Raw genomic sequence first — 21,967 nt, forward strand, 5'->3', positions numbered from 1 at the left:
TCCAGCCCCAGCCGGAAAGCCCATACCATTGCCAGTCCTGTTATGATTAAGCACTCTTGGTTTGCAAGAACTTGGGTGAACCTGCTCCTATGGGGGCCCAGAACACCGCATGACTTTTTCCTTCCTTTTTTTTTTTTTTTGCGACACAGTCTTGCTCTGTCATCCAGGCTGGAGCATAGTGGTGCGATCACAGCTCACTGCAGCCTTGAACTCCTGGGCTCAAGCAATCCTCCCACTTCAGCCTCCCAAGTAGCTGGGCCTGTAGGTGTGCACCACCACACCTGGCTACTTTTTTTTTTTTTTTAAACTTTGAGTAGAGGAAAGGTCTTGCTATGTTGCCCAGCCTGGTCTCAAACTCTTGGGTTCAACAGATCCTCCTGCCTTGGCCTCCCAAAGTGCTGGGATTACGGGTGAGCCACCACACCTTCTGTTTTTCTCCTTCTAATGGGGACACAGATTAATATATTAATGACCATTATTCCTAAGCAAGGTCTGCAAGAAGGTTGTTATATTGTTTCCTCTAAAGAAGCATGAATATTGCATGTATATCCCTTCCCTCCAAGTTCTTTTGTTCGGGGACTCTGCTGGTTTTCTTCTCTCCTTAGGAAGGTGGGGTGGTGGTGTCCTGTTAGTCACCTGGGAACAAGGAGGCTCCACACTGGGGTTGATTTTGCTTGGGCACTGCCTTTGGGAAAGTAGTAAAACGTTAGGCAGTGTGCTCCACCTCCCAGGAGCAGATGGCTTGGGCAGTCTCTGCGGCCCAAATGTGGCTGCATTTCCCACCCCAAACCCCCACCGCACAATGTTTTTTTTTTTTTTTTTGAGACCGAGTCTCACTCTGTCACCCAGGCTGGAGCGCAGTGACGTGATGTCGACTCACTGCAACCTCCGCCTCCCGGGTTCAAACAATTCTCCTGCCTCAGCCTCCCAAGTAGCTGGGGTTACAGGCGCCCGACACCACGCCCGGCGAATTTTTGTATTTTAGTAGAGATGGGGTTTCGCCATATTGGCCAGGCTGGTCTCGAACTCCTGACCTCAGGTGATCGGCCCGCCTCGGCCTCCCAAAGTGCTGGGATTACAGGTGTGAGCCACTGGGCCTGGACCTCCATAGCACACTCTTGACCATCAGGAGGCAATGCCGGCAAGAGGTTCACCATCCTTTGGACATAAAGGAAGCTTTCCCTTGGTTTGTGGACATTGTAGTTAAGAGAATGAAGGTGCACTATGGCCCAGAGAGGGGTCGCCCCTATTTCTCCACAGTTCCCAAACATAGCTGGCATAGGTTTCTGTTCTTTGATCCCGAAGATCCCAGGCCACAAAGCTATGTACCCTTTCTCCTGCCAAATAAAATCCATAGACACTGCATCTTCATGATGAAGCTTGAAACCAGTCAAGCACTTTTTTTATTTAAAAAAAAAAAAAGGAAAGAAGTCAAATGGTAAAGTATATAGCCTACACATGCTACAGCTAGTTGTTCTCACCCCTCCCCTCACATCCTATATACTCATTTATTTAATGTGTTAAAGGAAACAAAAACCACCACCGGAATGCCAATTTGCCAAGAGGGTAGAGTAAGTGTGGGGATCTCCAGCGTCATCCTATGAGCAGACACGAGGTGGTGGGCAGTGCCCACTGTTCCTGGAGGGAGGTAAGAAATGGCCTGTTACTTGGAAGCTCCCCAAAGCAGGAAATGTGGGTTGTAATCAAGGTGGCCACAGTTTATCATCACCCCTCTAAGTGAAAGGGGCGCTAACAATAATTACACGGGCACAAAGGCATACATGGGCACACACTGGGGTAAAATGTGGACACCATCGTTGCATTAGAATTGCTTATTGCTGATGTAAGCCTGGTGGGGGCACCTTCTTTTTTACATGAATAGGACATCTAAAAGTGAAGGCTACCGACTGTGGCACTGCGTTTGGCCTCTTTGAGGACAGAAGAGGTTGAGCCCCTCATCCCTGATTGGAGCTAAGAAGGCTTACTTTGGAGTCGAGGATAGAAACGGGAAGATGGAATGTTGAAACATGAGGAGGAGCTCGATAACTTGGCAGAATAGCACCAGAAACCAGATGCCACCCCACGGAGCTGGGCAGTCCAGTCTGTAGAAAGGTGCTCTGAAGGAGGTCCATGAGCAGGCAAGGACTGTGGAGCCTCCGGTTCCAGCTCTGCAGCTCTGCCTGGGACCCTCGTGGAAACTTACTCTAGTTAGGAGCAATTCCTCCAGGCCAAGAGAGGGCGCCCTGCACCCTCAGGCCTCGATGCATGCTGCTCTACCTCTCATCAGCCCACAGTCTGACACGAGGTCATCTTTGGTCTGTGGTGAGGTATGGATGTCTGCAGTCTACACAACAGCCCTGCAGAACGGGCCTGGACAACCCTTGGGGGATAAGACAGCCACACATGGCTCAGGCTGTTAGGTGTCCACTGTCACAGTCCAAAGAGAAAGGTACGGCCTCCAAGGGGGCAGCTTAAGCCAACATGTAAGACTTGGGCACGATGAAAGGACGGGGGTCCAGCTACGAATGTTTTTGTTCTTGATGTCAAGTTGCCAGCTACTGGAAGGCAGGAGCAGTTTCTTCTTTTTCCCACTCTGTGCTGGGTACTTGGGAGAGGCGAAATAAATACCAGACTGTCCACTCCTCAGCCTAAGGTCCTTCTCAAGTCCTGGCACACTCAGCACTTGCTCTTTAACGTGGCATATGTTCCCCCATCTTCCACCTGGTAATGAAATCCTCAGTGGGCGCAAACATTTTAGGGCCAAGAACATTGACTTGGAAATTGATTCTATGGCGTGGCCTTGTGGCAGAGGTTTAAAATGACTACCGTAACCTGGCATGGGCTCCAGCGATCCCCCAGTAGGGAAGGGCCATTAAAAGCGGTTTAAGCTGGAGCTCAGCTCTCCCGCAGTCTCAGCTGGGACGACATACACCCACCAATGGCAAAGAAAGATTCCGAGCAGAACATGTGAGCAAAGGCCTCTTTTATCAAGAGGTGGTCTTAGACTCAGGGTTTTCCAAATTTTTGGAGGTACCGCAAGCTGTCCGTTTGCCCTGGGATGTAAGGTAAAGTAGTTGTCACAATTGTGTTAATAAGCAGGGGTGAGGGGAAGAAAAAAAAATCTCTGCCCACCTTTTGGGCTGCCATTTGGCCTGTGACCTACTGAAATGTGTGAGCAAGGGGCGGGGGGAAGAGGCACCGAAATTCAGAGGGAGGGTCACTTGATTCCCTGGAAGCCCTCCGCACACTTCCCTGCTAATGGCAGAGAAAAGTCATGGACACGAGGGAAAGAACAACAACAACAAAACCAAACAAACCCAAACTCGAGATCTCAGTCCCAGCTTGGCCACTATTTGGACCTTCTCCCTCTGAACCTTAATTTTCTCACTATAGATCAGGGCTGGTCCTATCCGCCTCACAGGCTTGCCGTAAGGATTAAAGGAGCGTGTGTGTTTAGGCACTGGTCACCAGCCCGGTGCTTGGCACCATTGTCACGATGGGCCTGGACACTTTCTAGAGCCATGACTCCAGGGGAGTTCTGCATATGCGCCATCAATCGCTCACAGAATAGCGACCACAGTCCTGGATGGGGTAAATCTAAGTCCCCAGGCAAGGACAGCTAGGAGAGTGACTGGCCACCCTGACCCACCCACTGCCTGGGGAAGTGTCTACCATTGTAGGAAAAGGAGCTGGATACAGACGTCCTCAGGCCATAGATATGACTCAAGGAGAGAACAGTGAACAGAGAGGACTGTGGCTTCAGTACCCGCGGGTCATGTCAGAATAATCATCATCATCATAGCAAAAGAGAATGGCAGATTCTTTCATTTGCAGGAAAACTTTCTGCCTAGAGGAAGGCAGGGCAAGTCTGCTCCTACCCAGCTGACCCCCGGGAGGAAGGAATGAAGCAAGAGAGAAACTCCTTCAGTGAAGTCAGCAGACAGGACTCAAAGCTCTTCCAGCCAGGGATGGAGCCACACACATCCCAGTCTACTCAGCACCTAGCACAGAGTAGACACTCACAAAGTATCTGAAAGCGTCGCTGAAAGGCAAAGAGCAAATCAGAAAAAAACATGTGTTTTGTCTTTTGAAATGCAGTCAAATCTCACATAGCTTCACAAAAGTTGTTTAAACCAAAGTGGATCAAGAACTCAGGAAAACTGCCATGGGGCCTCCTCTCAAGGGAGGGGACCCTCAAGCGGTGGCGGCCCTTCCCCACCTCCCTTCTTCCCCTGGCTGCCATCTGCCCCCAACGCTCTGGGCACAGGGCCAAGTGGCAAGTGGGCCCTGCCCAAGCCTCTCTGGGAAATGGGATTTGCAGGCCGACTGGACGAAGGCACTAAAGATGCTACAGGTGATCAGAGGAAGCTCCTCACGCAGAAGCAGCCAGCACCCACGTGATAGGGGGTGGAGCTGGGAGGCGCGGCAGAAGAGGGCTGTTCAAGCAAAACTTTGGCACTGCAGGTAGACACTGAGCATCCCCCCAAAAAACTGGCTTTGTGGGTCCAAAAGTATCTCGCCTGATGAACACTGTGAACTGGAGATCTCTGGGGCAGGGCAGGGTGGGGAGGGGCGGGGCAGGGCAGGGCAGGGCTGCCTCGGTCGGGTAGAATGGGAAGGGGTTCTGCTCTGCTCTCTTACTCTGGGCTGGGAGCTAGAAATGCTGGGTCCTGATTTTGCTTCTGCAGTGATTTAGTCATGCCTCTCCAGACCTCAGTTTGACAGATGACCACATCTGCCCTGGGTTTCTTCAAGGGAGAAAACAGATTTGGCAGTGCGTGAAAAAAGAAAAAAACATTACAAATGCCGGAGAGGCACAGGAAGCAGCTCTGCCTGGCCCTTGGTTACCTGCCTCCCTATGGGACCGCTGCATGCTATGCTCAGAGCCCTCCAGGCTGGCCCTCGAGGCCACCTCAGCTCCCGTTGCTCCATAAGCTCTATTCCCCAGGGGGCAACAGCTTAGAAGAGGGAACAGGGCTCTGTGTCAACCACCAGGACCCTGGCATTCTCCTGTCATGGAGATGCAGCTGTTGAGTCCAGGGCAGCCTTTGGTATAGGCTGCTGTGGGCTGGAGGGATGGTGGGTGTGGGAGCAGCCACGAATGCCCCCTCACCCCCCTCACAATGAAGCCACTTGGCCACCACTTAGCCAGCTTCTATCTCTTCCCTGCCTGGTTTGTCTTTTACAGAGGGGAGGGCACAGGCACTGAAGTCAGGCAGGCCTGGACTCAAATCCTCTTCCCTCTTCCTCCTGGCTGGTGTGTCCTTGGGCACATGGAGCGTGAATTTCCTCATCTATAAAGGGAGGTTGTGAGGGTCAAAGCATGAATGCAAAGCGCCAAGTACAGTGTTTGGCACCCACGAGGCACTCAGCAAAGGGGTGCTCACAAGGGCACGACTTGTGAATGGGCCTCTTATTCAAACAAACTTTGAGATTCTTGCTTTAGGTAGGCAAAAATGAAATGCTCCAAGTTGGGGTGGGAACTCTCATTGAAAAGCCCTGGAGGGACCGGAGCCTGCAGCAGCAAAGCGCAGCATACGCGGGGCTGGAACCACCCTTCAGGGCTGACCACGGTCCCAAGATAGAAGGTGGGAGGCAGGGCGGCTGAGCGGATCTCCAGGCCCACTCCTGGGGGAGCCGCATCCAGTGGAACCTCAGAGGCCCACGGGCCTGAGGCTTTGGGGAAGGGGACACTTTCCCTGGAACTGGTAATGGAATGCATTTCTTCAGGATGAAGTTCCTTCTGGTAGCAGGCAATTTAGGAGGAGTGAATAAAGCCACTGGGCTTTTAGAAACATGAAGAAGTTGGAGCAAAAGTCATCATGGACTGGGTTGGCTGCCCCTTACTGTGCCATGTCCAAGCCATGAGAGACCCTTGCTGGAGTTTCTCCAGGCAATGGGATCCAGTCCTGGAGGTCTTGGAGAGTCTTGGTCCCACTGCTGGGTGGCAATGCCATTGGCCAGGAGGAGTTCTCTTAAGGCAGGGATGCTGACATGGACAGAAAGCAAAGGCTGTGGGTTCTGAGCCTCCAGTGATGCTGTGATAGGAGGGATCAGGCCCAGGGGCGCCCGAGGTGTCCGAAACTCACTCTCCACCCATGGGAGGCAAGAAGTCACAGTACCCCAGAGTCTGTCTGCCTTGGAAGCTGCGTGGAGAATGATAAATTAAGAGGCGTATTAAATACGTGGGTAAAGCCAGCAAGGACCAGCGGGCCCTCTAGGCAGAAAGGGAGTCGGCTACGGCTTCTTTCTGAGATAGTTGGAAGGAATCCACCCTTCCCAGGAAGGGGCTCCGCTCAGGACCTGGCAGAACCACCAGCCACTGCTGTTCTTCTCCCGGACTTCAAACACTGTCCCTTCCTGGAAGCTGCTGGTGTCTTTGTCTCCTTCAAAGTCGGCCACGGCCACATACAAAGAGTCCTTCAGGCCGTCGGCATTGGGGACAGAGGCTGCAGCTGCTTTCTCCCTGTTTTCTCCAATCTTGCCGGTCCCCCATGGCCCCAGGCTGCCTTTGCCTCGCGTGTCATCCTGGCCCCCCAAAGAGTTGGAGAGAAAAGGTTTGGCTTTTGGAGGGACGAGGAGAGCACGGCCTGGGGTGGGAGCTGCCCTGCTTTCGTGGCCTTCACACTGTGGACCTCTGACCTCTGGGAGCGGCCTGGATGACGAAGAGGTTTTCTTTGGGGGAGGTGGTCTGCGGGGTGGGACCACAGGTCTCTGCTGGGGAGCCTCTTGGAGAGGAACAGGCACGCTCTTAGACACAGGATCTGTGGTCTTGGCTGGCCTCGGAGGGGCTCTGCAGGAAATCTCTTTTGGGCTGAGACCATCCTGTTTGCCCGTCCTGTCCTGGGCGCGGCCAGGCCCCTCTCCTGGGAGGAAGCTTCGGCTGAAGGCCACGTCTTGGCCCCCTACTGCCTGGGGGCCCTCCCCATCCAACAAGGACTTGTCTTGGGACTTGGCAGGCCTGAGCTTACTCCTGAGGTTGCAGATGTCGACTTGGTCTTCGCCCTGAGGTGGCTCCGTTTTGGGGGAAGGAGCTGGTTTTGGCCTAACCTGAGGTCTGGACTTCAAGAAGGGATTCTGGGGAGTGGCATCTGGCTTCTCCTCTGGCAGGTCAGTTTTGGATTTGGAGATGGGCCGGAGGTTGGGCTTCTTCACTTCCTTGGCCAAGACCTTGTGGCCACACTCCAGCCCCATGTCATTTTTCAGCTGGAACAGTCTGCTTTTGTCAGGTTTGGGCTCTGGCCTCCTGCTGTCCCGGGCTGGAGGGATGTGTTTGGCTGGCATCATCGGCAAAATCACGCCCGGAGGCTTGGGAGTGGGGCCCCGGAGCTGCTCCGTCCTCTGCCGCTCCCGCTCCCGCTCCAGCAGCTCCCCCTCCGACTTGATGATGGATTCTTTCCGCGGAGGGAGGCTGGGCTTCTCCTCCATGTCGGGGTCTGAGATCTCCTCGTAGCCTGCTGACGCAGACATGTCTGAAGATGCCTTCCTCAGGACATCCTTACTGCCCTTCCAGTCTTTAGACCATGGCAACCCCGAGTCCATGACACCATGCGGTGCGTCAGGCAGGGGCCGGGAGGGGCCCGTGGCTTCGCTGCCCGTGTTGTTCTCCAGCGCTGCTGCTTCCCCCAGCCGGAGCTGGGTCACCTCGTGGGGCAGGGGAGCCAGAAAGTTGGGTCTCGACGCGTTGCTCGTCTTCTTGTACTTGTCAATGAAGGTGGCCGGGGCCCACCCTTCCTTATCTTCAATCTGAATGTACCACCAGCCACTCAAGTTTTTCTCGATCACCTGCAAGGGAGGATAGAGAAAGGCACTTGGCTACGATGCCAGGGCCAGCAGATGGAATGGTTTGGCAGAACCCATGTGCAACTGGAGCTCTAGAAGCTGTCACTGTGTACTCAGCAGCTCCTCTGACAAGGTCTACAGGGACCACCAATGGAGATGTTACCATGTTCCGGGAATATCTTACATGGGGGGAGAGTCTTGTCGTATGGGACTCCCCCTAAAGCAGTCCATGAGATGTGGCCTTGGGTATAGGTACTTAATTTGAGAGTTGGTCCTAGGAAATACAAGTAAGGAAGTAGACAGAGAAAGAAGGGAAAGGGAGAGGCCAATTATGAGCAAGTTATTGCTCGGGGCCATGGGGCTTGATCTGCCAGGGACCCTCTGAGAGACCACAAAGACAGTGCCTCAGAACGGGTCCCTCTGGGGATGCGTGCATTTATCTATTGACTCTCAGCTCCTCCCTACCCAGGGTATTAACTCCTCTCCCCTTCTGGGAAGCTGTCGGCTTGCAGGGACCTGTGTGTAGGCGCAGGTGAATTCAGGTGGATCAGAGGCACCGGCAGCGTCTGCTACAATTCTAAAGACAAGGCAGAAGTCAGAGCTACCCTTGATCCTGGCTTCTTTGGCTGAGCATCGGATGAAGAAGTTAGCTGGCATTTATAGAGTCCACAACACATGAAAGAGACCTACCTTTTTTTTGAGACAGAGTCTTGCTCTGTCACCCAGGCTGAAGTGCAGTGGCATGATCTCAGCTCACTGCAACCTCCGCCTCCCAGGTTCAAGCGATTCTCATGCCTTAGTCTCCCAAGTAGCTGGGATTACAGGCATGTACCACCACACCTGGCTAATTTTTGTATTTTTAGTAGAGATGGGGTTTTACCATGTTGGCCAGGCTGATCTCGAACTCCTGGTCTCTAGCGATCTGCCTGCCTCGGCCTCCCAAAGTTCTGGGATTACAGGTGTGAGCCACTGTGCCTGGCCTGAAAAATATCTATCTTTGAACACAGGAATCACAGTCAGCTCAAAGAGATGCTCGTGTTTATATACAGGGGACCTGGAGCTGGTGGAGTAGAGTAGATTTTCATCGTGTCCCTACTTCCCTGTGGGATACACGCCTGTTGGCTGGAATGGTGGGTGGAATCACTCATGTTGTCTAAGATCTTGTTCTCTGTCTCTTTTTTGTCCAGCACTGCGTGGCTGAATTCACACAGGTGAAAGGTGTGCTCGCTATTATGGGCTGAATTGTGTCCCCCTACCCAAATTCGTATGTTGAAGCCCTAACCCCCAATACCTCCAACTGTGACTGTACTTGGAAATGGGGCCTTTAAAGAGGTGGTTAAGGTTAAAATGGATCATTAAGGTGGGCTGAGTTTGGATGTATGTCCCCACCCAAGTCTCATGTTGAAATGTGATCCCCAATGATGGAGGTGGGGCCTGGTGGGAGGTGTTTGGGTCACGGGGGCAGATCCCTCATGAATGGCTTGGTGTCCTTCCCTTGGTAATGAGTTCCCATGGGATCTGGTTGTTTAAAAGTGTGTGGTGTCTCCTTGCCACTCTCTCTTGCTCCTGCTCTTGCTATGTGATGTGCCTACTCCTGCTTTGCCTTCCGCCCTGAGTAAAAGCTCCCTGAGCCTCCCCAGAAGGCAAGCAGATGCTGGCACCATGCTTTCTGTACAGCATGCCCAACTATGAGTCAAGTAAACCTCTTTTCTTTATAAATTACCCAGTCTCAGGTATTTATTTATTTATTTTTTTGAGACAGAGTCTCGCTCTGTTGCCCAGGCTGGAGTGCAGTGGCACTATCTCGGCTCACTGCAGGCTCCGCCGCCTGGGTTCACGCCATTCTCCTGCCTCAGCCTCCCAAGTAGCTGGGACTACAGGCGCCTGCCACCGTGCCCGGCTAATTTTTTTTTTTTTGTATTTTTAGTAGAGATGGGGTTTCACCGTGTTAGCCAGGATGGGCTTGATCTCCTGACCTCGTGATCTGCCCATCTCGGCCTCCCAAAGTGCTGGGATTATAGGCATGAGTCACCGTGCCCAGCCAGGTATTTCTTTATAGCAATGCAGGAATGGCCTAATACATGGGCCCTAGTTCAATATGACTGATGTCCAAATAAGAAGAGGAGATTAGAAAACACACAGGGACTGAGGGATGACCACGTGAGAAACAGCAAGAAGGTGTCCATATGGAAGCCAGGGAGAGAGGACACAGGAGAAACCAAACCTGCTGACACCTTGATCTTGAACTTCTGGCTTCCCAAACTGTGAGACAATAAACTGCAGTTGTTTAAGCCACCCAGTCTGGTATTTTGTTATGGCAGCCATCACAGATGTACACTGCAATTCCCTGGTAGGCTCTCTCTGGACTCGGAAGATCTGATGAACGCTCATGACACCCTGTGAGTGGGGAACTGTCACCTCATTTTACGCATGCAGAACGGAGCCTCAGGAGAGCTGAGGAACACACAGCGGGTCCTGTAGAAGGGCCGTCGATCGGAGGAGAGTCAAAGGCAGCGGGGTGGGCTTCAGAGTCACCTAATCTTGCCTCTCAGAAAAGAAACCCCTGGCCGGGCGCGGTGGCTCACACCTGTAATCCCAGCACTTTGGGAGGCCAAGGCGGGCGGATCACCTGGGTCAGGAGTTTGAGACCAGCCTGGCCAACATGGTGAAACCCTGCGTCTACGAAAAATACAAAAAATTAGCTGGGTGTGGTGGCATGCGCCTGTAATCCCAGCTACGCGGGAGGCTGAGGCAGGAGAAACGCTTGAACCTGGGAGGCAGAGGTTGCAGTGAGCCGAGATCGTGCCATTGCACTCCAGCCTGGGCGACAGAGCAAGACTCTGTCTCGAAAAAAAAAAAGACCCTGCTTGGAGAAGGGCTGTGTCCGGGGTAAGAAATTGCAGAAGGAGCAAAGATGGCTGCGGGTACTTTGTGGCCCTTCTGGGAGAGGGATGGCAGCCACAGACTCAGCGCCAGGACGCAAATGCTGGGCTCCTGGGCCTGCAGTCCTGGGTTCTAGTCTTGGCTCTGCCACTTACTGCCTGAGTGGCCTGGGGCAAGCCACGTGCCTCAGATTCCACATCACAGAAGGAAAATGGTAAGAACAATTTAACACCCACTTGTAGAATTTTTGCAGCCGCAAGAGCTAATGCATACAACAGCACTTGGTAAATAATGCTGCTGCGATTAAATTAGAGTGGAGGTCACTGAGCCAGCGGGATGCACTTGACAGGCAGCACTTAATGAGTCCCACTGGAATCTCCAGGAAAGGCCACTGATAAATGTAAGCTGTTTATGTGAGGATGACTGGCATCTTATCAACGCTTGATAGCTCTGGTAAAAATTACAGGCCACACTGGGCATACGAGTCATCGTCAGCACATCCATGAATTCAACAACACTAATACTTAAGTCTGTATGTGAGGAACTGAAAATAGGGTAATCAATATTAGATGTATCAGTAAGATTTGTCAAGCTTACACTCTTTGCAAAGTATTGTGGTAGAAGCTCTGAACATGTGTGTTCTGAACCATGAGGAATGGGCGTTTTCATTTACTAGAGGGAAGCCAAGAACTACTAGGAATAAAAGCAAATGCAAGATCAGAAGCCGGGTGCGGTGGCTCACGCCTGCAATTCCACCGCTTTGGGAGGCTTAGGCGGGCGGATCACCTGAGGTCAGGAGTTCGAGACTAGCCTGGCCAACACGGTGAAACCCCGTCTCTACTAAAAATACAAAAAAAAATTAGCCAGGTGTGATGGCAGGCGCCTGTAATCCCAGCTACTTGGGAGGCTGAGGCAAGAGAATTGTCTGAACCTAGGACGTGGAGGTTGCAGCGAGCCAAGATCATGCCATTACACTCTAGCCTGGGTGACAGAGCAAGATTCCGTCTCAAAGAAAAAAAAAAAGATCACAAGAATGAGGGGAAAGAAAAGAGTGTGGGCTTTAAAACCAGAAAGACCTGGTTTCACAACTCCATTGCTTACTAGCTGTGTTACTAGAGGCAAATAATTTACCTAACCCCCCTGAGTCTCATCTATAAAACATGCTGATAGAAAAAAAAAAAAGAAAAACAAACTAACCAACCAACCCTATGATGCTGGTATTTTGACCTCTTGGGACTTCTGTGAAGATCAGTTATCAAGGAGGTAAGGTACCTGACACAGAAGAGGTGCCTATATCATCATCATCATCATCATCATCATTATCATAACACATCCTGAAGATAAACAGCCTAGACAAGTAACTAAGGTGTTACTGGTAGCCCTACTGCTAGAATGCTGTGGTTCCATTAATGAATTTTGAAGGCTAAGATAATGTTGCAATGAGCCAGGAAGCAAAACTGGAGAAGAGAAAAACAGAGCATATGGATCTATCATAAGAAAACAACATCTAGCCAGGTGCAGTGGCTCACGCCTGTAATGCCAGAACTTTGGGAGGCCGAGGTGGGCAGATCACCTGAGGTCAGGAGTTCGAGACCAGCCTGGCCAACATGGCAAAACCCTGTTTCTACTAAAAATACAAAAATCAGCCGGGCGTCATGTTGGGCGCCTGTAATCCCAGTTACTAGAGAGGCTGAGGCAGGAGAATCACTTGAACCTGGGAGGCGGAGGTTGCAGTGAGCTGAGATTGAGCCATTGCACTCCAGCCTGGGCAACAGAGGAGCGAGGCTCTGTCAAAAAAAAAAAAAAAAAAAAAAAAAAAAGGAGGCACTCAATACATGTGTATACAATGAAAGAGTATGAAGGGGCAGATTTTTCTATAATGGATTAAAACACAATTCAGAATTTTCCCAAATCTCATCCCTTTAGCCCTTCACTCAGATAATAGCAAAGTGAAAACACAAAAGGATTTCCTTCTAGTGAAACATGAAGATACTTCAATGCCTCTGGAAGCAGGGGCCAGAGGATGCAGAACTAGCCTCTCGACTGTAGTACACAGCAAGGCCTGGGCCAGATGTTGTGCCTGGTGGAGCTGCTGGCAAGCTGGAGTAAGGGAAAAGGAAGGAGGAGGATGGAAGAAAGGCAGGAAGGAGGATGGAGGAAAGGAAGGAAGGAGGGAGAGAAAGAAAGAAGGAGGAAGGAGGGAGGAAAGAGAGAAGGAGGGAAAGGAGGGAGGAAAGGAAGAAGGGAAGGAAAACAAAGGAAGGAGGAAGGAGGAAGGAAGGAGGGAGGGAAGGAAAGAAGGAGGGAAGGAAGAAGGGAAGGAAGGAGGGAAGGAAGGAATGAAGGCGTGCAGGCAGGCAGGCTATAGTCCTTCCTGGAATATAGCCAGGAAGGAAGGGAGGGGCCCTAAAGAGGTATGCTGGAGTGAACTGATCAATGGTGTCTACTGCCCTGTGCCATCAGACAGTGCTCTGTGCCAGGGACCAGAGCTGTGTTCTTTAAAGGAAAGAGGATGGTGACGACAACTCTTCAGGGCCTAGAAAAGCAGCCGCCACACACAACCATAGTAGGAGATCCAGGAGCATTTTATTTGTTGCAGAGATGAATAAATTGAACCTTGGCCTCCCAAGGTGAGGTGGGGAGGGTCTGACCAACTCTTACACATGACAGAGTGAATTTGGTGATACCTGTGATTGGCTCACCTGCTTTTGAAAGTGTCTCAAGAACCATCTTTGCCAAAGGTTTCCAAACCCTGGCCCTAGCTGCCATCCCCTTACTTACAGGTTTTCTTGCAAATATGAGAAAGAAATATCTTGAAGCTCTAACCCCATGAGGAAAGGAAAGAGAAATGCAGGAAGAGAATCTGGGGAACAAAGTAGACAAACAGAGAGAGTGGGAAGAAAAGGAGAGAGGAGAAGCAAGAACGGAGGTGGGAGGTGGTAAAGAAAGGCATACAGCCAGTCACACAAGACCACATACTGTGGGATTTCATCTATATGAAATGTCTAAAACAGGCACATCTATGGGGACAGAAAGTGGATTGGTGGCTGCCTAGGGGCTGGCAAGTTGAGGGGAAATGGAGGGTGGCTGTTGATGGGTAAGGAGTTTCTTTTTGTTCTGGAATTAGACAGTGGTGAGGGTTGTGCAACCCTGTGAATATCATAAGCCGCTGAATTTTACACTTAAAATTGTAAACTGTATGGTATGTGAACCATAAAGCTGTTAATCTCCGCCCCACCTCCACCCACCCAGTGAAGTAGGAGGTGACAGGGGAGAAGTAGGAGGTGATGCCTGGAATCAGGAATCACAAGTAGGCAAAGGAACACCAGGGCCACTCACCTCGACCTTCAGGCCTGCCTGGAAGCTGATGCCGTCTGGGATGGTTGTCTGGAATTCGGCGATGGTGTAATACTCTTCCTCCACTTGGGGCGGGATGGGCGGCTTCGGCAGGTTGAGGCCTCGAGGCTGGTACGATCACACACAGGGTTATCTCCAAGGCTAAGTGCACTCCTGCGACCCTGTGTCAGGGGGAGTCTAAGGGCCTGGGGCATGCAATCACCCTTAAGGGGGTGCTGGGGACCTAGTTGGATTCTAAGGGACAACACAAATAGGACCACGCAGTTTGTCACTCCTCGGTGAGACCTCACTGGCCCATCAGCTTTAGGGTGATGGGAAGAAACACGGGACATTTGGGTACAATCATGAGAATTTGGAGCAAGACAATATTCTCTGAAATAAGAGGCAGTGAGGGTTGTGGAGGGAGCTTAAGTTTATTAGTAGATCTATCTGGGTTGGAAACACTGATGGTGGGAGTGTCCTTGGGCAAATCACCCCCTTCTGGAGCCTCAGTTTTCTCTCCTGCAGAGTGGGCATAACAGTGTCTACCTGGTGGGGTTGCTTCAAGTATTAAATTAGTTAATGTTGTGAGGCAATCGGCACGCTGCATGGCACGCAACAGGTGCTTGATAAATAGCAGACATTAAAAAAATACAACCCCAAAAGAGCAAGACCCCGTCTCAAAAACCAATGCAAACAAATAAAAAAAACCCCAAAACCCAACAACAACCCATTGGGTTCAAAGTATTGGCTAAAAAGGTACCTAGAGAATTTTACATAATGGATTATGAGCGCAGAATATCAGAATGGGACCACAGATGATATTTGTGTCTCATCTCAGCTTGGGCCTCAAGTCGCCTGAGAAGACTGATCTAAGACCAAGAGAAGGGCCCAGGGAGCAGAAGGCAGGTCCTGAGGCCCAACTGTCACAGGAGCACTCTGGCCCCGCGGGCAAACTGTTTCACCTGCCTGCACCTCCGTCTTTCCACCTGCGAGTGGGACTAGCATTTCTACAGCCTGCTTCACAAGGCTGTTGTGTGGACAGGAAAGAGAGCATTTCTGGAAGGGCGAGGGGTGTGTGAGGGGCTAGTGGACACCCCTCACAGCCCTCAAGTCAGTGGCCACTCCCCAGTAGCGAGGATCCACTTACAATGGTCATGTCCCGGCGAGGAGGGGGTCTCTGCCTCATCTTTGGTGATCCTATGGAGAAATGAGAGCTTATTACATCTTGTGCTACAGATGAGATTCCTGAGCTGGGTGCCAGGTCGGGTCTATTTTCTCCTGCAGAAGATTGAACACAGGCGTCTGCATGCTGCTGCAACCCTCCCTGTGAGAACAGCCTGGGCAGGAAGGAGCTGCTCACGCGTGGCTCATAGTTGGCTCAGGACTCTCTCGACGTAGCTTTTCTTGCATCTTTTCTACACAGGAATGAAAGGGGATGGTGCTGGATCCTCAAGTCATGGAAATTCTCCAGAAAGGGCAAAAAGCAAAGTCTTCAGAATAACACAGAGATGGGTCCCAATCCAGCTCTGAGGCTCACAGCTGCTGGCATTGGACAGATGATTGGATTCTCTGAGCCACAAGGCCCTCATCTGTAGAACTGGCATAATGTGTGTCACCCAGGGCAGCGGTGAGGATGAAAGGAAACATCTGTGAAGCTCTTGGCATGTGGCAGGCATGCAGTGAATGTTATCTGCACCTGGTTTTGTGCTCTAGAACAACCCAAACGCAACAATACACAAACACACTGAACCAAACACACTTGGGCCGATGACTCAGGGGTTTATACTCTCGAGGCAGCTGCCCTGGCTCTGGGTCTCAGGGCCAGGAGGATGAGGACTTTGCAGTGGTCCAAGGCTCCTGGCTAAAGGCAGAATGTTGGCCAGGTTCAGCACGGGTCCATACAGAAGGGTAGTTTGGCGTTGGGGTGCGGAGGAGACTGCTAATCCCTTAAATTCCCATTTACCTGTCTTCTGTTAGAATAAATAGCAACAGAGTATTGGCCAAGACACTTAGCTGTCTATATAGACTTCATTTTCCAGTCACCCTTGCAGCCAGGTATTGCCACGTGACTCAGTTCTGGCAGTGGGATGTAAGACAAAGTAGAAAGTGTGTGGCTTCTGAGCTGTGTACACAGTAGCCAGTGTGACCACTGTGAGATAGCAGAAGGAATGCAACCTGGGATGGGAAAGCAACGCCTTTTTTTTTTTAAATGGAGTTTCGCTCTTGTCACCCAGGCTGGAGTGCAATGCACTGCTTTTCATTGGCTGGACTAGTAGTGAGCCGTTCTGGACCGAGGGATGAGGGCAACAAGATAGATGTGGAGTAATAAGACTCTTGATTGCCTGGAGCTGCCATATTAACCCTGAACATATACACAGACTGTTTTGTGAGAAAGAAATACATATCTAGATCGTTTATTGGATGTGTGTATATGTGTATATTCAGTGGTGGTAGGGGGGTGTCTTTGTTTTAGCATCTGAATCTATCTATGTATCTATCTATGTATCTATCTATCTATCCTATCTATCTATCTATCTATCTATCTATCTATCTATCTATCTATCTATCTATCTATTTATTTATTTTTGAGGGACAGGGTCTCGCTCTATTGCCCAGGCTGGAATGCAGTGGAGCAATCACAGCTCACTGTAGCCTCAATCTCCTGGGTTCAAGTGATCCTCCCGCCTCAGCCACCCTAGTAGCTGGGACTACAGGTGTGTGCCACCACGCCCAGCTAATTAAAAAAAATTTTTTTTTGTAGATAGGGGGGTCTCACTATGTTGCCCAGGCTGGTCTCAAACTCCTGGCCTCAAGTGATCCTCCAGCCTCAGCCTCCCAAAGCACTGGGATTACAGTCGTGAGCCACTGTGCCCAGCCTGAACCTATATACTAACAAAGACATTGAGGCTGCAGATTTTCATTTGCTCCTCTAGAGTTAATGGGAATACATCTAACCTCTTGGCCATGATTGACAGATTAGAATCACACAAACTCGGGGATGGCCAGAACCCCTGCCACAGCATGTGAGAAAACATGATCAGTGACTTCTCAGGGCAGCTGAGCAAAGTACGAAACTTGGTTGACGGACTCAAGAAGTTCACTGCCACTTAAAAACAGCTGGAGAAGCCCCGCCAGGGGCAGTGGCCTCATCTCTGTGGGTAGCTGGAAGTCCTTTCTCAACAGAGTTCACCTGCCCTGCACGGCCAAGACAGGATCATGGGCACTGTGCGTAAGTCCTGGGCACCAGCGTGCCCATGCAGACATGGTATGGTAGCCAGTGTGACCAGGCCGACAACAGTAATGAACTCTACTCTCAGGTGTGTTGGGAACATTAAATGGTAAAATATACACGAGGAGGCTTTGAAAAGCAAGATGGGAGAGGCACTGTGTTGGAGTAGAGCCCACAAGGCCATCTTCTTCCTCTGGCTTAGAAACGAGGCCACATGGAGCAATAGAGAGCACAGCACTCCCCAGGTTCAAGTCCCCGCCCCTGCCGTCTACTAGCTGGGGGCCTTGGGCACACCCTCTCACCCTTCAGACTCCCAATCTGTAAAACAGAAAAAGTAGTAATTCCCTCAAAGGTAGTTATGAGGAGTCGATTAGACTAATTAGAAGGTTTCTGGCATGTAGCAGGTGCTTGAAAAAGAGTAGCCAGTGTGACCACTGTGAGATAGCAGAAAGAATGCAACCTGGGATGGGAAAGCAACGCCTCCCCTTTTTTTTTCTTTTTTTAAATGGAGTTTCACTCTTGTCGCCCAGGCTGGAGCGCGAGTGCAATGGTGCATCTTGGCTCACTGCAACCTCTGCCTCCCGGGTTCAAGCGATTCTCCTATCTCAGCCTCCCAAGTAGCTGGGATTTCAGGCAGCTGCCACCACGCCTGGCTAATTTTTGTATTTTTAGTAGAGACGGGGTTTCACCATGTTGGCCAGGCTGGTCTTGAACTCCTGACCTCAGGTGATCGGCCTGCCTCGGCCTCCCAAAGTGCTGGGATTACAGGTGTGAGCCACTGTGCCCGGCCAGCAATGCCTCTTGACTCAGATTCTGCAATTCACGGGCTGAATGATCTGGAATAAGTTACCCGGGGTTTCTGGGCCTCTGTTTTCTTATCTGGAGGATGGGGGAGCAGCTGGGCTGCTGTGAGGATGAGGGACGATGTGAGACGCCTTGAGCACAGAGCTGGCACACAGGGGCCCTGATTATCAGGAGCTTGGGCGGGTGTCACTCACTCTGCTTGGCGTCACCGTCGGGCACCGGGCGGCCTTCAAACCGCCCGTCCCTCTGGCTGCTGAGCAGCTCCTTCTCCCTGCCCACCGCGTTCTGCTGCCGGGAAACACCATCCAAGTCAAGGGCACCCGGGTGGGAGGGTGAGCCAGGGCCTGGCTTCGGGGGCAAGGGCTCCCCACTGTTCTTCTTTAGGTAGGAGGCGGGGGCCCAGCCTTCTTTGCCCTGGTACCTGTGAAGAGGAGGAAGGATGCTGTCAAACTGCTCCGCCAGGCCCAAGGGAAGAAGCCTTGCTCCTACTGGGAATCACATGACAGGTCCCAGGGAGCAGGAACGACGGGTTGTGACTGCCCAGGGCAAGAGGTTGGCACACACTGTGCATTTCCTCTTGATGATGCCTAAGCCCTGAGCTTGGTATTTTCAAGGCCTTTCCAACCCGGCCTCTACTTGCCCCTCTTACAGCACCCACCATGTCCCACCCAGCCAGCAGGGCACCAGCCTGGGCTCTGAATCTCTGTGCTTTGCTGCCTCTTCCCAGCAGCCCCAGCTCTGGGGCCAAAGCCTGGCATAGACAGATGGAGATCTGTTCACGCTGATGAACGTGGAGATTAAACATGCTTTCATATGGGATTAGCAGGTTGAGGGCTGGGTCCAGGGCTCGCCAAGTGGCAGCTGGCCATCACTAAACCGCAGAGTGATCGAGACCCTGACAGAGCAGCTCAGTGTCCTCCCAAAAGGGACTTCAATGAGTGTCATCATCTCTTAATCCTCTGCAGGAGACATTCAGTTTTTGAGATAGGGTCTCCCTGTCACCCAGGCCAGAGTGCAGTGGTTCGATCATAGCTCACTGCAGCCTTGAACTCCTGGGCTCAAGCGATTCTCCCAACTCAGTCTCCTACGTAGCTGGAATTACAGGTACACACCACCATGCCCAGCTATTTATTATTTCTTGTAGAGATGGGGTGTTGCTATGTTGCTCAGGCTGGTCTTGAGCTCCTAGACTCAAGTGATCTTCCTGTCTCGGCCTCCCAAAGTGTTGGGATTACAGGTGTGAGCCACCACGCTTGGCCAGAATTCAGTTTAACAGCAATGACCAGAGGGGCCAATCTAGACCAGGGGTGTGCTGCAGTCAGTCACACCAGCTGTGACAGCCAGTTGGGCACATCTCTCCCAATCTCTACATTTAGTGACATCACACTGATAGCTTGAAATTGACCATGGTGGCAGTATTTGCACCATGGCAACTGGCAAACACTGTAACTCAGAGTATTTTTCCTTGGAGAGCTGGTTGTTAAACATTTACCAGAACCCAAAAAAACAGGTGGCCAGACCTTTGGGGAAAGTTGAACAGACCCAATGGCAGGGCTGAATCTCTTGTCAAGAATTAATTTAAGAACTAAATAGCATTGGGTTTTAATGCAAAAAAAAAAAGGTCTCTCTTGACTGGAAGCAAATTTAAAAGGAGGTAGAAATCTGCAGTTTAGTGTCTATCAATCTTAAAATATGCTCTGAGAGGGAATATCCTAATTAGAAAGTGCCAGGCTGTATATAACCCACACGCTCAGTTTGACATAGTTCATTGTTTGGGGACACAGAGCCATAAGATGGGAGGCGATGTGCAGTGCTGACTGGGCTCTGGGGTGAGAAGGGAATGGGCTGAAATCCTGACTGTCACTTTCTAGCATCAGTCAGATCTTGAGATGACTGCAGCCCTTACTGACATCCTAACTATAACCTCGGGAGAGACCTTGAGTCTAATTAAGCCACTGCTGAATTCCAGAGCCACTAACTTTTGGGACAATTTATTATGCAGCAAGATAACATACTATTCAATATATGTTTGTTATCCTTTTTTAAAAAGTTTAAAAAAACTAATGTCTTTAAATTTTAGAGACAGGGTCTTGTTGTGCTGCCTAGGCTGGAGTGGCACCATCATAGCTCATCGCAGCCTCAAACTCTTGGGCTCGAGTGATCCTCCTGCCTCAGCCTCCTGGGTAGCTGGGACTACAGGCGTGCATCACCATGCCTGGCTAATTTAAAAGATTTTTATGTAGAGATGGGATCATGCTATGTTGCCCGGGCTGGTCTTGAATTCCTGGCCTCAAGTGATCCTCCTGCCTTACCTCCTCAAGTACTGGGATTACAGGCATGAGCCACCGTGCCAGGCCCATGCCTGCTATTTGATATGGTTTGGCTGTGTCCCCATCGACATCTTGACTTGAATTGTATCTCCCAGAATTCCCACATGTTGTGGGAGGGACTCAGGCGGAGGTAACTGAATCATGGGGGCCAGTCTTTCCCATGCTATTCTCGTGATAGTGAATAAGTCTCACAAGATCTGATGGATTTATCAGGGGTTTCCACTTTTGCTTCTTCCTCATTTTCTCTTGCCGATGCTATGTAAGAAATGCTTTTCACCTCCCGCCATGATTCTGAGGCCTCCCCAGCCATGTGGAACTGTAAATCCAGTTAAACCTCTTTTTCTTCCCAGTCTGGGGTATATCTTTATCGGCAGCATGAAAATAGACTAATACACTATTACTATCATTATCCGTTTTCAAATTTAGGTTCTGAGATCTCCCTCAGGAAGCCTTCCTGACCCCCAGGCTGAGGAGCCCCTCTTCTGTGTACCAAAGTCCCCATGCATCCCTCCAACATGGCCAACCCTCTGCTCTATCACCGTTTATGAGTTTGTCTTCTGTACCAGGTGGTGTGAGCTATTGTATCTTGCTCACTGTTGACTCCTCAGCTCCCAGAACAGGGCTGGGCCCAACAGAGATTCTTGGTGTGCGTTTGTTGAATGAATGAATGAATGCAGTGCTACATGCTCAGCCTCCTGGAAATGGCCCGAATGTCCCGCCACACATCACAGCGCAGACACTAGATTGCAGGGACCTCGGCTTCCTCTCTTGCCCTAATTTCCCATGGTCACATCCTGCCTATTGGGGGTGATCAAGGAGGGGTTCCCAGGACTTTCATTACTAAAACCAGGCAAGGCAGGACGAGCTGGCCACCCTGCCTGCCTGGGAGGCTCTGATATCATCACATAGGTGAAAGGGCTGTGAAAGGTGTTTGGAATGCAGACGCCCTGCTTTTACCATTGGACTTTGAGAGACGAGGGCAGATTATCAGCCTAGGACGAATTACAGTCCATGAGTGTTTATGCACCATCTTGTTCTCAGAATGGGGCGGGAGGGGGCTGTCACTCACATGGGGCAGCTTTGGCCTCCAACTCCTCATTATGAGAAACATCTGGAGGTGGAAACCAGCCTTGCTTAATGGGGTTGCTGCTATCTGTGGTTCAGTGTGTTTGGAGAAAGTTTTGCTTATCATGGACTTTTAGGGAAGGATATGGGTAGGGAGGGAGGCCACACAACACAGAGGAGAAGTATCCTTTTATGGTTCAGGCGGAAACTTCGCCCAGATGCAATCACTTACCGACCTCTGTGAGGCCAGAGTCCCTGTGACCCCAAACCCACCCAGCGTGACCCCAAACCCACCCAGCAACCGTGGGGGGCAGCGGCTGGTACCTGATCTTCCACCAGCCTTCCAGGTTTTTCTGGATGACCTCCACCACAGCCCCTCTCTCCAGGTTCATTTCATCCTGGTCCCGAGCTGTGTACGGGTAGATGACTGTGTACTTCTCCTCTGTGGGGACAAAAGGAAGCTGGGGTCAGAAGAGGACACCAAGAGGCTTGGGATGCCGTAATCCCCGTGATGCCCTTGCCCGTCGGAGGGAGG

The 21,967-nt window shown here is 51.1% G+C and overlaps 1 protein-coding gene across 3 annotated transcripts in view, besides 1 other annotated feature; it reads right to left on the bottom strand.

The window, feature by feature from the left end:
• SH3PXD2B (SH3 and PX domains 2B) overlaps nt 1–21,967 on the bottom strand; it is a 129,345-nt gene that overhangs the window by 6,951 nt on the left and 100,427 nt on the right. For 2 of the 3 annotated variants that reach the window (NM_001017995.3, XM_017009351.2), the window contains 5 exons: nt 21,757–21,874; nt 18,232–18,458; nt 15,152–15,201; nt 14,005–14,130; nt 1,368–7,785 (listed from right to left, as the gene is read on the bottom strand). In NM_001017995.3, the coding sequence (NP_001017995.1) occupies nt 6,238–7,785; nt 14,005–14,130; nt 15,152–15,201; nt 18,232–18,458; nt 21,757–21,874 (2,069 nt within the window). In that variant the 3' untranslated portion in view covers nt 1,368–6,237. Of the gene's footprint in view, nt 1–1,367; nt 7,786–14,004; nt 14,131–15,151; nt 15,202–18,231; nt 18,459–21,756; nt 21,875–21,967 lie in introns of those variants that run through there. The other variant, NM_001308175.2, reaches the window with a different exon arrangement.
• Nucleotides 3,766–4,627: an enhancer, noted in NCBI's record as "H3K4me1 hESC enhancer chr5:171762901-171763762 (GRCh37/hg19 assembly coordinates)". NCBI's record gives its function as "activates a minimal SCP1, AML or CMV promoter by ChIP-STARR-seq in primed H9 embryonic stem cells {active_cell/tissue: H9 hESC(primed)}" and the evidence as "EXISTENCE:reporter gene assay evidence [ECO:0000049][PMID:30033119]".

This window comes from Homo sapiens, chromosome 5 (assembly GCF_000001405.40).
Source record: "Homo sapiens chromosome 5, GRCh38.p14 Primary Assembly".
NCBI lineage: Eukaryota > Metazoa > Chordata > Mammalia > Primates > Hominidae > Homo > Homo sapiens.